Consider the following 17,174-nt stretch of genomic DNA (forward strand, 5'->3'; position numbering starts at 1 on the left):
GTTTTTAAAACTATTTACCAAAAAAAGTGTGCAGTATTTCTTTTAGAATTTATTTGCGGAGAAAGAACTTAATTTTAGCTTAATAAAACAAACGTTAACATTGTTTTGCATGGATACATTTATAATTTGGTCCTTTATCTCAGTTGGACAGTTTAAGTACTTGTATATAGTTCTATATTTTAGTGTTTTCTTTTGGTTCAGTTACTTCAGCTATATCTACAAACGAGTTAATTAAAATATAACAAAACCATATACCTGCTTTTCCCCCTCCTACTCCAACTCCCTAATGGAAATGGAATTTGTGTATTGGGTCTAGGGGAATTGAAGGGTTCACTGACTATATTAGAAAGCCTGAATTACAGTTTTTCAAATGTGTATGTATACATACAGGGAGTTCTTTATCTTAAATAATATTTTAGATATGATAATATATACTCTTAAAATAGGACATTTTTGGAATGACTTCCTTTAAAAGTGGTTTTCTAAGTACTTGAAAATACTTTTTGAAAGTATCGAAACTTGAAAATGTTTGCAAAGAACTAATTTATTGGCCTTTACCCTTAGTAGACCTTTACACTGTTATTCAGCTCTTCTATACTACAGTGCTAATCCTGGCTTTGCATTCAGGAAGCAGCAAAATCCACATTGGTAATGTTTGAATTAGTGATGGTTTTTTTTAAAAAATGACTTTCCCTCCCAGTTTTATTGGGGTATAATTGACAATTAAAAATTGTTATATTTAAGGTGTAGGACTTGATAACTTCATATACAATCAAGTTAATTAACATATCCATCATGTCACATAATTACCATCTTTTTTTGTGTGTGGCGATAAAATGACTTTATCATTATTATTAATTTTATTTTTATTATTAGATAAAATGACTTTTTAAAGTACAGTACTCTTGGCCGGGCGCGGTGGCTTACGCCTGGAATCCCAGCACTTTGGGAGGCCAAGGTGGGTGATCACTTGAGGTCAGGAGTTTGAGACCGGCCTGGCCAACATGGTGAAACCCTGGTCTTTACTAAAAATACAAAAATTAGCCGGGAGTGGTGGCGTACGCCTGTAGTCTCAGCTCCTTGGGAGGCTGAGGCAGGAGAATAGCTTGAACTTGGGAAGTGGAGGTTGCAGTGAGCCAAGATTGTGCCACTGCACTCCAGCCTGGGCGACAGAGGGAAACTCTGCGTCATAAATAAATAAATAAATAAATAAAGTATGGTACACTTATAAAGCCTTCCTTTTAAAAGTCAAATTCCAAGTTAGGATTTTCCTAAGGAAATAGATTCCTTTTTTAAAAGACTTCAATATTTAAACATTACGATTGTCTATCTACAGGGTTGTAGATTTAAGTATTTTTCTGATACATTTTCATTATTTGTATTTCTACAGATTTTTTAGCAGTGAATTACTGCTAAATAGTAAAATTGGGATAGAACAAATAGATAAATTTTTCTTGTAGCCTTTACATTTCCAGTTATTTCACCATAGCATGTGCCCTTTCAATGTTAATATTCAAGCTTTGTAATTGATTTTACTTAAACTGATTAATTATCTCCTTTCTTCCCATCAAAGAAAATTATACTTCAGAAAACTTCCTATTATGTTGTGGGAATGAAGATGAATAATTTCCCAGATGTTATTTATGATTAAAAGATATGTTTACTTAGAGCTCCCAAATCCACAAGATTCACCTGGGCCAACAGAGTGTTGTTTTAGACTAGCATGGATTTAGAGGATAGGCCAGGGATTTTAATCTTTGTGAGCCCTATCTAAATTTCAATGTAGGATTCTTTTTTTTGGTGGGAGGCGGGGGGCAGGGTGAGGCAGGGTTTTGCTCTGTCTCCCAGGCTGGTGTGCAGTGGCACCCTCATGGCTCACTGCAGCCTCCACGTCCTGGGCTCAAGGCCATCCTCCCACCTCAGCCTCCTGGAATTTTTTTTTTTTTTAAAGAATAATTATCAAAGTCAGAGATACCTGTAGGTTTAAATGTTTAAATGTAATAGTTTCTCAAATTACTGTATACTAGGTGTAGAGTAGTGCTTTTGGAAATCAGTGATTTATTAGCCACACAGATTTTATTATCCCATATATATACGGTTTTGTAAAGATAAACATTGTTAATAAAATAAACTTATTTCAATACATTGCTTGTTTCTACTCATATTTCTTTCCTTTTGGACAGACACTCCTACAACTTTCTAACCCTTCTAAATTAAAAGATAGTAATTGATAAAAAAGTAATTTTAAGGTACTTCTCAAGGGAGTTATTTATTATAATGTATAAAATGTGTAAATTATGATTAGGCAGCCAGTGACAATTTTTTAGTGGAGATTGAATCTCATCTTTTTGTAAGGAGTTTATGAAGTCAGTGTCCTTTGAATATCATTAGAGTCAGTATGTACTGAAATGGATAATTTTGCGTGTCGATTACTCTTTAGTGCATCTTGAATACATCTGCATTCTAGATTACCAGGTTCTTCATAATATGTTGCCAAGTTACAGTGTATTTATTATATGAAGATTAGTAACTTCTGACTTTTGCCTCTTTTTTTAGCCATTGGGGAAAAGTTAGTGAAATATTTGTATTTTGTTTCTTTAGTCTTGAAATTTCAGTGAAAGCTGAAAAATGTATGATTTTAGTATTGAAAAATGACGGTCAATTGTGACAAACGTAAGATATACTGATAATTCCTTAAGGCAGGACACCAAAGGCATATAAGTAATCATAACAACCATAGACACTATGATAGCTCTACTGTGGGTTTCATTGCTTCCTAAAATAGGATGAATCAAGTTATAAGTGCTTAGAAGGTTTAGAAGCTTCTGGTAGCATGGAGCTTATGTTACAAGTATGCTTTAGGTCAGTGTTTTTAAAATGTTTTAAAAATGATCCATGATAAAAGTACATTTATGTGGCAACCTGTGATATACACAACGAAAATAAAGGATTCTCTAGGTGTATATATAAACCTTACTAGATGGGATGCATTCTGTTTTTTTTCATATTGTTACAACTGTTGGTGTTGAACTGGTAGAGTACGCACTAATGAGTCTCAGCTTGAGGTTTGGAAAATTGTTCTAGATGGTGTGTAGTTCTTGTAATTTAATGTTGCTTCAGGTTTAAGGTGGGCAGGCTTCCCCAAGTACTTGAAGGAGATTAAAAAAATTTTTTTTTAAACACTGCTGATGGCTCCACAGGGAAAATGTAAATAGTGAAACTTCATGTACATCTTGGACAAAATAACTAGGGTCGAACACTTTTAAATAGATATCTATTGTGGGATTGCTGACTTGTATGGTAAGTATGTTTAACTTTATAAAAAACTTCCAGACTGTCTTCCAAAGTAATTCTACCATACTGCATTCCCACCAGCAGTATATGAGAGTTCCAATTGCTCCACATTCTCATCAGCATTTGGTGTAGTGAGTCTTCCTAATTGTAGCCTTCATGGTAGGCGTGTAGAAATATATCATTGTTTTAATTTGCATTTCTCTTTTTTTGTTTTTGAGACGGAGTTTCGCTCTTGTCGCCCAGGCTGGAGTGCAATGGCATGATCTTGGCTTACCGCAACCTCTGCCTGCTGGGTTCAAGAGATTCTCCTGCCTCAGCCTGCCAAGTAGCTGGGATATGGGCATGCGCCACCATGCCCAGCTAATGTTGTATTTTTAGTAGACATGGGGTTTTGCCATGTTGGTCAGGCTGGTCTCGAACTCCTGACCTCAGGTGATTGACCTGCTTCGGCCTCCCAAAGTGCTGGGATTACAAGCATGAGCCGCTGCGCCTGGCCTTTAATTTGCATTTCTCTAGTGGTTAATGATGTTGAGTATCTTTTGTGGCTTTTGTTTTTGTCATCCATATAGTCTGGTTAAATGTTCAGGTTTACCTTTTTAATATTGTAAGAATTCTATAATTCTTTATATAACAGTCCTTAATCAGATATGTACTTTACAAATATTTTCTGTCAGTTTATGTCTTTTTCTTAACAGGTTCTTTTATAGTTCATACTTTTTATGTCCTATCTAAGAATCTTTACCTAATCCAAGGTAACAAAGATTTTTACTTTTTTTTTCCTGGAGATTTTATCTTTTTACCTCTTACATTTAGGTCTGTGAACAATTTCGAGTTAAGTTTTACATATGTTGTAAGAGTCAAGTTTCATTTCTTTGCATATTAATGTGCAATTGATCTAACAGTGTGTGGAAAGACTACTTTTTTCCCTTTGTTGAAAATCAATTGACCATAAATGTTTAAGTCAATTTCCTAGCCACATTCCATTGATCTAGCTTCATGTCTTTATACCGAGGATTGAAATCAGCTAGTGTGATACTTTAAACTTGGTCTTTTTTTTGAGACAGAGTCTTGCTCTGTCACCCAGGCTGGAGTGCAGTGGCTCGATCTTGGCTCACTACAAGCTCCGCCTCCTGGGTTCACACCATTCTCCTGCCTCAGCCTCCCGAGTAGCTGGGACTACAGGCACCCGCCACCACGCCCGGCTAATTTTTTTGTATTTTTTTAGTAGAGATGGGGTTTCACCGCGTTAGCCAGGATGGTCTCGATCTCCTGACCTTGTGATCTGCCCGCCTTGGCCTACCAAAGTGCTGGGATTACAGGCGTGAGCCACCGCGCCTGGCCGAAATTTGGTCTTTTTTAAAAAAATTTATAGTTATCCTGGCTATTCTGAACCCTTTCTATTTCCATAAAAATTTTAGAACTAGCTTGTCAATTTCTACAAAAAGACTTGGGATTTTGTGTTGAATCTATATATTATTTCAGGGAGAACTGACATGTTTACAATATGAATCTTCTCATCTGTGGTTCTGGTTTGTCTCCGTGTATTAAGCATTCTTTGATTCTCTCAGCAGTGATTTGTATTTTTTGGTGTTAGGTTTATCCTTAAATATTTCATATTTGTAATGCTATTTTAGATGATATTTTTATTTATTTTTACTTTTTATTTGTACAAATTTATGGGTACATATGCAGTTTTGTTACATGCATAGATTATGCTGCAGTCAAGTGAGGGCTTTTAAGGTATCCATCACCTGAATAACGTTCTTTGTCCTCATTAACGAATTTCTCATCATCCTCCCACCTCCTCATTCTTCCACTCCATTATGTATCATTCCACTCTGCATCTGTGTGAACACGTTTGTTTAGAACACACTTATGAGTCAGAACATCATACTTGTCTTTGTGTGCCTGGTTTGTTTAACCTAAGATAATGACCTCTAGTTCCATCCACGTTGCTGTATATGTCATGATTTCATTCATTTTTTTTTTGAGATGGAGTCTCACTCTGTCGCCCAGGCTGTAGTGCAGTGGTGAGATCTCGGCTTACTGCAAGTTCCGCCTCCGAGGTTCACGCCATTCTCCTGCCTCAGCCTCCCAAGTAGTTGGGACTACAGGTGCCCGCCACCACACCTGACTAACTTTTTTTTTGTATTTTCAGTAGAGACAGGGTTTCACAGTGTTAGCCAGGATGGCCTCGATCCCCCGACCTTGTGATCTGCCCGCCTCGGCCTCCCAAAGTGCTGGGATCACAGGGGTGAGCCACCACGCCCAGCCTGATTTCATTCTTTGTTATGGCTGAATAGTATTCCATTGTGTATATATACCACATTTTCTTTACCTGTTCATCCATTGATGGACACTTAGGTTGATTCCATATCTTTGCTGTTGTGAATAGTGCTGCAGTAAACATACTGGTGCACATATCTTTTAGATATATTAATTTCTTTTCTTTTTGTAAAAATCTAGTAGTGGGATTGCTAGATGGAAAGATAGTTCTATTTTTAATTCTTGGAGAAATCTCCATACTGTTTTCCATAGAGGCTGTACTAATTTACATTCCCACCAATGGTATATAAGAGTTCCCTTTTTTTCACATGATAACCAACATTGTCTGTCTTTTTAATAAAAGACATTCTGACTAGGATAAGGTGATATCTCATTGTGAATTTGATTTGCATTTCTCTTATGACTGGTAATGTTGAGCATTTTTTCATATACCTGTTGGGTGTATGCTTTTGAAAAATGTCTATTCATGTGTTTTGCCTACTTTTTAATAGGATTGTTAGATTTTTTTGGTTGTTGAATCGTTTGAGTTCCTTGTGTAGTCTGGATATTAGTCCCCTGTTGGATGAATAATTTGCAGATATTTTCTGTCATTCAACAGGATTGGTTGTCTCTTCAATCTGTTATTTCTTTTGCCATGCAGAAGCTTTTTAGTTTAATTGAGTCCCATTTGTCTGTTTTCTAGTATCTTTATAGTTTTGGGTCTTACACTTAAGTCTTTAATCCACCTTGAGTTGATTTTTATGTATTAGTGAGAGATAAGAGTTCAATTGCATTCTTCTGCATATGGATATCTAATTTTCTCAGCACCATTGATTGAAGAGGGTTTCGTTTCCACAGTGTATGTTCTTGTCGGCTTTGTCAAACATCAGTTGGCTGCAAGTATGCGGCTTTATTTCTGGGTTCTCTATGCTGTTCCATTGACCTGTGTGTCTTATTTTTATACCAGTAACCTGCTGTTCTGGTTAGTATAGTCTTGTAATATAATTTGAAGTTAGATAATGTGATGCCTCTAGCTTTATTCTTTTTGCTCAGCATTGCTTTGGCTATTGGGGCTTCTTTTTGGTTCCATATGAATTTTAGGATTGTTTTTTCTAATTTTGCAAAAAATTAACTTGGTATTTTGATAGGGATTGTATAGAATATGTAGGCTGCTTTGTACAGTATGGTCATTTTAATGATATTCTTCTGAATATCCAGTGATCATGGGATGTTTTTCCATTTGTGTCATGTATAATTTCTTTTAGCTGTGTTTTGTAGTTCTCCTTGTAGGGATTTTACCTCTGGTTAAATATATTCCTAGTTTGTGTGTGTGTGTATGTGTGTGTTTATAATTTCTTTTTTCTTTTTTTCTTTTTTGAGACGGAGTCTCACTCTGTCACCCAGGCTGGAGTGCAGTGGCACAATCTCGGCTTACTACAACCTCCGGCTCCCAGGTTCAAGCACTTCTCCTGCCTGAGCCTCCAGAGTAGCTGGGACTACAAGTGCGCACCACTATGCCCAGCTAATTTTTGTGTGTGTGTGTATTTTTAGTAGAGACAGGGTTTCACCATGTTGGCCAGGATGGTCTCGATCTCTTGACCTTGTGATCCACCCACCTTGGCCTCCCAAAGTGCTGGGATTACAGGCGTGAGCCACCACACCCGGCCTTTTTTTTTTTGTTATTTGTAGCTATTGTAAATGGGATTGTGTTCTTGATTTGGTTTTCATTTTGAATCATTATTGGTGTGTAGAAACACTACTAATTTTTGTATGTTGATTTTGTATCTTGCAAGTTTACTGAATTCATTTACCAAATCTAAGGGTTTTTTTTTTTTTTTTTTTGAGACAGAATTTCATTCTGTTGCCCAGGCTGGAGTGCAATGGCACAATCTCAGCTCACTGCAAGCTCTGCCTCCCGGGTTCAAGTGATTCTCCTGCCTCAGCCTCCCGAGTAGCTGGGATTACAGGCATGTGCCACCACACCCGGCTAATTTTTGTAGTTTTAGTAGAGACAGGGTTTCACCATGTTGGCCAGCTGGTCTTGAACTACTGACCTCAGGTGATCTGGCCACCTCAGCCTCCCAAAGTGCTGGGATTACAGGCATGAGCTACCGCGCCTGGCAAATCTAAGAGTTTTTGTGGGGAGTCTTTAGGTTTTTCTAGATATAAGATCATATCATCAGGAAACAGGGATAATTTGACTCCTTCCTTTATAATTTTGATGCCTTTTGTTTCATTCTCTTGCCTGATTGCTCTGGTTAGGACTTCCAATACTATATTGAAGAGTGGTGAAAGTAGGCATCCTTGTTTTCTTCCAGTTCTTAAAGGAATGCTTTCATCTTTTCCCTATTCAGTATGATGTTAGTTACAGGTTTATCATATATGGCCTTTATTATTTTGAGGTATGATCTTTCTGTGCCTAGTTTACTAAGGGTTTTTCTTATGAAGGGATGTTGAATTTTATTAAATTCTTTTTTCGCGTCTATTAAGATGATCATATGGTTTTTGCCCTTCATTCTGTTGATATGATGTATCACATTTATTGATTTGCATATGTTGACCTATCCTTGCATTCCTGGTATAAAACCCACTTGATCATGGTGTATTATCTTTTTGATTTGGTGTTGGATTTGGTTTGCTAGTATTTTGTTGAGGATTTTTGCATTTGTGTTCATTAATCTGTAGTTTTCTTTTTATTCTGTATCCTTTGTTTTGTGTCCTTCTTTGGTTTTGTTATCAGGGCGATAATGGCCTTATAGAATAAGTTAGGGAGAGGCCTGTCCTTGATTTTTTGGAATAGTTTCAGGAGTATTGATATTACTTCTTCTTTGTACATTTGGTAGAATTCGGCTGTGAAGCCATCTGGTACTGGGCTTTTCTTTGTTGGGAGATTGTAAAAATTACTGATTAATTCTTGCTGCTCATTATTGGTCTATTCAGATTTTCTGTTTCTTTCTGGTTCATTCTTGGTAGGTTGTGTTTTTCTGGGAATGTATCTATTTCCTGTAGGTTTTCTAGTTTATGAGTATATAGTTCATTATAGTCTGTGATGATCTTTGTACTTCTGTGGAATCAGTTGTAATGTCTCCTTTTTCATTTCTGATTTTATTTGGCTCTTCTCCCTTCTTTTCTTGGTTAGTCTGGAAAGTGGTTTATCAATTTTTTTTATCTCTTTGAGGAACCAGCTTTTCATTTCATTGACCTTTTGTGGGTTTTTTTTTTCAGTCCATATTTCATTTAGTTCTGCTCTGATCTTTATTTCTTTTCTTCTGCTAGTTTTGGGTTTGGTTTTTTCTTGGTTTTCTGGTTCCTCGAGGTGCGTTCTTAGATTATTAACTTGTAATCTTTCTCCTTTTTGATGTAGGAATTTATTGCTGTGTTCTTCTTAGCACTGCTTTTGCTGTATCCCACAGGTTTTGGTATGTTGTGTTTACATTTTCATTTGTTTCAAAAACATTTTTTTAAATTTCTGTCTTAATTTCTTCATTGACCCTATTGTCATTCAGGAGCATGTTGTTTAATTGTTGTGTATTTGTAAGGTTTGTAAATTTTCTCTTGGTATTGATTTCTAGTTTTATTCTGCTGTTGTCTGAGAAGGCACTTGATGTGATTTCAGTTTTAAAAAATTTGTTGAGACTTTGTTTTGTGGCTTAACATATGGTCTGTCTTGGAGAATGTTCCATATGCTGATGAAAATATTGTATATTCTGCAGTTGTTGGATAGAATGTTTTGTAAATGTCTGTTAAGTTCATTTGGTCTAAAGTCCAGTTTAAGTCCAGTGTTTCTTTGCTGATTCTTTGTCTAGATGATCTGTCTAATGCTGTAAGTGGGGTGTTGAATTTTCACACTATTGTGTTGCAGTGTATCTCTTTCTTTAGGTCTAGTAATACTTGTTTTATGACTCTTAGTACTCCAGTGTCGGGTGCAAATATGTATTTAGAATTGTTATATATTCTTGCTGAATTGGTCTCTTTAATATTATATAACGACTTTCTTAGTCCTTTTTTTTTTTTTTTAACTGTTTTTAGATGGTTTTTTCTCTTGCCATTTTTAGGATTCACTCTTCACTTTGACTTCAGACAGTCTGATTATAATGTTGCCATGGTGGAGACCTTTTTACACTGTATTTGTCTGGTGATTGCTGAGCCTCTCATATCTGGATCTCTAAATCTCTTAACTAGCAGTCATCTGTCCTGTGCCAAGGATGAAATAATTTTGTGTTTTGTCTCTCCTTGGTAGAGTTTGTCACCCCCAAGTAAGAACTAAGGCTCTGAGAAAATAAGTTTTGCCCAACCTAAGTGTAGTATGTTCAAGTCAGATATTTAAACCTAATCCAACATTTCTTGCCCCAACCATCTCTATAAGTAATAATTCTCAACTAGTCTAGTAAAGGAGATAGGTATGTGAATAAATAACTTACAAAGTTGTAATTTATTTAATGGTTTAATGATTACACAACCATTAAAAATGAGCAATAGCTGTATATTTATTGTCATTGAAATACATTCACCATGTGTTATTTTATTTTATTTTTTTGAGGTGGAGTCTCACTCTGTTGCCCAGGCTGGAGTACAGTGGCATGATCTCAGCTCACTGCAGCCTCCGCCTCCCAGGTTCAAGCGATTCTCCTACCTCAGCCTCCCGAGTAGCTGGGACTACAGGTGCCCATCACCACACCCGGCTAATTTTTGTATTTTTAGTAGAGATGGGGTTTTGACATGTTGATCAGGCTGGTCCTGAACTCCTGACTTCAGGTGATCCACCCACCTCGGCCTCCCAAAGTACTGGGATTACAGGTGTGAGCCACCACGCACAGCAATCACCATGTGTTATTGAGTGGTAATACAGATTCCAGAACAGAATGAATATCATGATCCCAGTCATTTATTCACTGATTCAGCAAACGTATATTGAATGCATACTTTGTGGCAGGCACTGTATTAGGTATTTGGAATACATGGGTCAATAAAGCAGTGTTCTTATGGAGTTTATAACCTATTAATATAAAAGAATGCCAGAGTAGAGTCAGAATTATAAGAGGCAGCTTGAAGTACAGAAAGACTTGAGTTGGAAGCCACAATGGTAAGTTCATCCATAACAAGTGTGTAATTCTTGGGAGAAGATTCTTCATAGCTCTTTGGATTTCTGAACATCTTCGGAGCAGAGGCACTAGTCGTTTTGTTCTGGACTATCTTCTCAGTGAGGTTTATATAGTGAATAGCCTTGGAATATATAACAATTCTAAATATATATTTGCACCCAACACTGGAGTACTGAGAGCCTCTTGAGCCAAGGACAAATTTGTTGTTCAGTTTAATAATGTCTCCTTAGGGATAAAGGTCGGGCAGGTTTGCTTGATAAAAGATTTAGGTTCCCCAAGTTCAAGATTCCTCAGCTGTGATTAAAACCCATTACATGCACAGCATCTATCCAGGCATCTTCAAGTTTCCCTATGAGACTTGGATTACAGGAAGAACCAATGTAAACCTGAAGCTCATACTGCTTGCCATACATGAGTAGTAAATTTTTTTGCCTCTGACTTAGGAGTTTGGTGTCTTTTGCTAGCATCCAAGAAAGGTAGCAGTCCAATTGGTTACCTTGCAAATAGGCCAGACTCTTCACAGCTTTTAATAGCATTCAGATGTGAGTTTATTTTAATTTTAATTTGAGGAGGCTCAGTTTTATTAAGGTACTGTTCTTATTTTGTGGTGGGTTTTTGCTTCTATTTCTTGGTATTACATTTAATTACTAAAAGGGTAGTGGATGTTTTTGCTAGTTTGCTCTAGAAGCACACTTTATGAGATGTCTGGACGATGCAATAAATTTTATCTCCAAAGTCATGTATAAAAATGTCATTCAAAAGCTATCTATTTAACCACAATGTGTTATGCCTCTATACATGTTCTAATGTGCAAACGTCATATAGAAGAGTTCTTGCTAAAACAGCTTACTTTATCTTCTATTCTTAGGTTCTGCCACCATTTTCTCCAGACTGAAGTGGCTAGAGCCATGTTTCAAACGCAGGTTTTAAAATTTTGACAAAGTTTCCAATACTTTAATATTTTAATGTGTTTTAATTGCTGTCATATTGTTAATTTGAATACTTTGTTTCTTAACTCGTATAACTCAATGAGATTACCAATCCTTTGACCAAAATGAAATGAGTTTTTAAAAATTTATCTTTTTTACTGAAGTTAGAATCTTTTTACAAGCGAAAATCAGATTTGAAAAGTTAATTACCTGAAGTACAACCTACTTCATGAAAACATGTTACTGAATTTCTCTAGGTTGTTTTATTTCAGTAAGTTTAGAAACCATAGAGCATCTCCCTCCCCAAAATAAAAGCCCCCATAATTATCCATAATTTTTTTTTAACTTATATGTTCATCCTTTACCTAGCCATCTTACCAGTTAAATAACATGGAGAAAGAAGTAAAACAAATTGGCTTCAAGAGGCTCTTGATTTTGACATGGAATGGCAAGAAAGTGCAATAGAGAAATCTGCCCTTTGTGACAGTATACAGAAAGTATAGGCAGATACAATTTTATGAGAGATCTCATCAGCCTGATTACTTAATTATTGTTCTTTGTTGTAAATTCAGCCTTCTTTCATTACAGCTTCTGAATAAACATGCTTTTTGATCTGTGTTTGGTAAAGATGATTCATTCCTTAAAGGGACAGATTTCTCTTTTTCAAAGAAGGAACTTACTCTGTTTTTGCAGTATTTAAACTGTTCTGCTATTGATGGACATTTATGCTGATTTTTAATGCCATATTTCATCATTGTAATGTTAACTTTAACGTTTCTGAAATTGAGAAATGCTTAAAAATAGTTGGTACTTACTATTGCTGTTTGCCATCCTATTTAAAATTAAAAACCTTACTCCCTACCTGCAGTCATCTTTTATCTCTTTTTCCTGCTTTATTTTTCTGCATAGCACTATACTAACTTATAGCACTTACACCGATTATTGTTTTTCTCCTCTCATAAGCAGGCAGAAATCTTTTTGTTTTATTTTACCACCGTAAAATATACTTTACCTGACACAGAGTGAGTACTCAATAAATATTTGTTGAATGAATAAATGAAGAAATGTACGAGTGTTTATTGTGGTCCAGATACTGTGCTAAGCCCTTTCTGTCCTTAAAATAACTACAGGCCGGGCGTGGTGGCTCACACCTGTAATCCTAGCACTTTGGGAGGCCAATGCGGGTGGATCAGTTGAGGTGAGGAGTTTGAGACCAGCCTGGCCCACATGATGAAATCCTGTCTCTACTAAAAATACAAAAGTTAGCTGGGCGTGGTGCTGTGTGCCTGTGATCCCAGCCACTTGGGAAGCTGAGGAAGGAGAATTGCTTGAACTTGGGAGGCAGAGGTTGCAGTGAGCTGAGATCATGCCACTGCACTCCAGCCTGGGCAACAGAGTGAGACTGTGTCTCAAAAAACAAACAAACAAAAAACTGCGTGAGGTAGAGGTATTCTAATGAGGAAACTAAGTCTTAGGCGGAGGTTAAATTGCCCAGTATCACTCAGTTTATAAATGGTGGAGCTGAAATTAGAGCATGAATTTACTTTTCATGCCAGATCCTAGGCTCCTAATTTCTGTGTTATATTTTTCTCAGTATTTGTGTGATTTATTTAATTTGTTCTTTCTTTTTAAACAGGAAGAAGAGAATTTATCCAAAGATTAAAACTTGAAGCAACCCTTAATGTGCATGATGGTTGTGTAAGTAATAGTTAATTCTCAACTCTGAAGGGATTTGATACTAAGTGTTTAAGTGTTTGATGAAATGTCCCAATCCTCCCAGAAAGGATTGTGACTATAATAAAATGGGAGAATAAAGTTTTACATTAAAATATAAAATTATATTTTGAATCTAGAAGAGTGTATGCAAGATTTTTTAAAGTGCAGATGAGTTTTCTAATATTATCGAAAGGCTTCCATCTCATTCACTGTACTGAAACTGCTTTTGTGACTTCATGTCTCCAAATGTGGTGTTCACTTCTTAGAAACTAGACATATCACTCAAACATATCCTCTTTTTTTTCATACTTTTTTTTGTTTGTTTTTGTTTTTGTTTTTGAGACAGAGTCTTGCTCTGTTGCCCAGGCTGGAGTGCAGTGGCGCAATCTCGGCTCACTGCAAGCTCAGCCTCCCTGCAAGCTCCGCCTCCCGGGTTCACGTCATTCTCCTGCCTCAGCCTCCTGGGTAGCTGGGACTACAGGTGCCTGCCACCACGCCTGGCTAATTTTTTTGTATTTTTTAGTAGAGACAGGGTTTCACTGTGTTAGCCAGGATGGTGTTGATCTGACCTCGTGATCCTCCTGCCTCAGCCTCCCAAAGTGCTGGGATTACAGGTGTGAGCCACTGTGCCTGTCCCATATCCTCTTTTTTGAAATACTTTTTCTCTTGGCTTTTGCTAACACCATACTCTCTTGGTTTTCTTCCTATTTCAATCCATTGACTTGCTACATCTTCTCTGTCTCAGCTGACTCCTCCGCATATGTTCCTTCACATGTTGGTTGCACGAAGACCCTGTCTTGGTATCTCCCACCCTCTTTTCTCTCCAGCTCAAAATGACCCTATCTAGTCCCATGGCTAAAGAAAACATGACTTCTGCCTCTTCCCAGAGTTTTTATATCCAACTTTCTACTTAACATGTCCAGTTGCATGTCTAATAGGCATCCCAAATTTAGCAGATCCAAAACAGAGCTCTTTTCAATTTTTATTATAAAAATTTCAAATGTACTTTTCATGTACTTGTGACCTAGACTTAGTAATTATCAAGATTTTGCCATATTTTCTTTTCTATTTTATTTTCTTCCCCCATCCACCTTGCTGAAGATCCACCTTGCTGAAGATCCGCCTTGCTGAAGATATATTATTTTACCTTCATATGTAAGCCTAAAAAGCGATTGACATTTTCTTATATAACCAAAATGCCATTAGGTAATTTAATAATATTGACTGTTTTTTCGGTATTAATCTAATATATAGTCCATATTTTCTTTGTTTTAAAATGTCTTTTTATTGTTATTTGTTCAAAAGATGATCCAAGGACACCTCTGCCTTGTATATTTTATGCCTTATACCTAGAATTCTCTTCTCTCACTTACCTGTAAAGCTTACCTTCTCATTTTATTTAGCTCTCTTTTCAAATGTTGCCTACCAAAGCAGCATTCCCTGAACACCCTAATTAAACAGCATGCCACGCCTGGTCAGTATCTTTCTCCTTACATTATTATTATTATTGATAGTGCTTACTATCTGGCATTATAATTAACAAACCAATTTATTTGTTCATAGTCTACACTTTTGCCCCCCTGCCTTGGCATATTGGACCAAAAAAATACCTTCACAAATTTATTTTTTAAATTTACTATCAACAGGAATGCCTGAAACAGATGTGGCACTTTATGAATTATTCATTGATGAGACAAAGAGTATATTATGTGTTAGATTAATTATTATTATTATTCTTTGATATGGGGTCTTGCTCTGTCACCAAGGCTGGAGTGAGTGGTGCAATCTTGGCTCACTGCAACCTCCGTCTCCCGGGTTCAAGCAGTTCTCCGCTGCAGCCTCCCGAGTAGCTGGGATTACAGGCACCCACCACCACACCTGGCTAATTTTTGTGTCTTTAGTAGAGACTGAGTTTCACCATGTTGGCCAGGCTGGTCTTGAACTCCTGGCCTCAGGTGATCTGCCCGCCTTGGCCTCCAAAAGTGCTGGGATTGCAGGTGTAAGCCACTGTTCCTGGCCCAACATTTTTTTCAAGTTTAAACATACCTTTGTTCTCTGCTTTCGTACTTCATTGGTGATCTGAGTGGATACAGGATTCTAGGTTGGACATTATTTTCACTCTGTAGTTTTTTGTTTGTTTGTTTTGAGACTGAGTCTCACTCCGTCTTCCAGGCTGGAGTGGAGTGGCACAATCTCAGCTCACTGCAACCTCCACCTCCTGGGTTCAAGTGATTCTTGTGCCTCAGCCTCCTGAGAAGCTGAGATTACAGTCTGCACCACCATGCCTGGCTAATTTTTGAATTTCTAGTAGAGACGGGGTTTCGCCGTGTTGGCTAGGCTGGCCTCGAACTCCTGACCTCAGGTGATCCTCCCAAAGTGCTGGGATTACAGGTGTGAGCCACTGCACCCCACCCACTCTGTAGTTTTCAAGGTCTTACACAAATGTTTTCTAGTATTCACTTCAGCTGGTAAGACTGTTGCCAGCCTAATTACTTTTTGTTATTATATAATAACTTTAATTACTTTTGTGAATTACCCCTAGATTTGTGCTTAAATTTTTATTTTTTATTTTTTTATTTTTTTATTTTTTTGAGATGGAGTCTCGCTGTGCCACCCAGGCTGGAGTGCAGTGGCACAATCTCGGCTCACTGCAAGCTCCGCCTCCCGGATTCACGCCAGTCTCCTGCCTCAGCCTCCTGAGTAGCTGGGACTACAGGCACCCACCACCAAGCGCGGCTAATTTTTGGTATTTTTAGTAGAGACGGTGTTTCACTGTGTTAGCCAGGATGGTCTCGATCTCCTGACCTCATGATCCGCCCGCCTCTGCCTCCCAAAGTGCTGGGATTACAGGCGTGAGCCACCGCACCCGGCAAATTTTTGTATTTTTAAGAGCTTTATTGAGATATGATCAGCTGTACATATTTAAAGTGTACTATTTGATATGTTTAACACATGTAAACATACACAAAGTCATCACCACATTCATGATGATAAAATATCAATCATCCCCTAAAAGTTTGCCCATGTGCCCTCTCATTCCTTACACATCACCCTCAACCCCAGTCAACCAATGATCTCTATTCTGTCACTATAAATCAGTTTGCATTTTCTAGAATTTTAAATAAACGGAATCATTGACTATGTATCCTTTTTTCATTTGGCTTTTTTTACTTTAAATTTTACTTAGAATAATTATTTTGGGATTCATGTTGTTGAGTGTATCAATAATTTATTACTTTTTATTGCTGAGGAGCATTTATTGTATGGATAAATCATAATGTTTATCTCTGTTCACCTGTCAGTGGACATTGGGTTGTATCCAGTTGAGGACTATTACAAATAAAGTTGCCATGAATATTCGTGTTGCGTCTTTGTATGAACATATGCTTTTATTCTTTTTTGATAAATACCTTTGAGTGGAATGAATGGGTCATATGGTAGGTACCTGCTTAACTGTTAAGAAACCAGTTGTTTTCCAGTATCGTTGTACCGTTTAACATTCCCAGTGTTAGTATGTAGAAATTCCAGTGGGTCCATGTCCTCACCAGCATTTGGTGTGGTCAGTTTTTTTTTTTTTTAAAGACATTCTAACAGGCATCTAGTAGTATCATGTTGTGGTTACATTTCCTGCCCCGTTAATTTTTAGATATTCATCTGTATTCTGGAAACTTCCTGAACTCTCATATTCATTCAAGTAGCTTTTTTTTTTCCTTAAGATTTTATAGGATATTCTATGTAAATAATCAAGTCATCTGAGAATTAAGTTAGTTTTACTTCTTTTCTAGTCTGGATTCCTTTTATTTCGTTTTCTTGACTTATTTCACTGGTTAGTATTCTATTATAAGATTGAATAGAAGGAGTGGAATCA

General features: G+C 37.0%; 1 protein-coding gene across 24 annotated transcripts in view; it reads left to right on the forward strand.

Annotated features, from left to right (window-relative positions):
• DCAF6 (DDB1 and CUL4 associated factor 6) overlaps window positions 1-17,174 on the forward strand; it is a 212,261-nt gene that overhangs the window by 74,998 nt on the left and 120,089 nt on the right. For 22 of the 24 annotated variants that reach the window (NR_146229.2, NR_146230.2, NR_146228.2 and 19 more), the window contains exon 2: window positions 13,227-13,288. The exons of the other annotated variants lie outside the window; for them this stretch is intronic. Coding sequence is in view for 7 of the 22 variants with exons in the window: in NM_001198956.2 (NP_001185885.1) it covers window positions 13,227-13,288 (62 nt within the window). In the remaining 15 variants the exon portion in view is untranslated. The remainder of the gene's footprint in view (window positions 1-13,226; window positions 13,289-17,174) is intronic. 24 annotated transcript variants of the gene reach the window in all.

Source organism: Homo sapiens, chromosome 1, assembly GCF_000001405.40.
Source record: "Homo sapiens chromosome 1, GRCh38.p14 Primary Assembly".
NCBI lineage: Eukaryota > Metazoa > Chordata > Mammalia > Primates > Hominidae > Homo > Homo sapiens.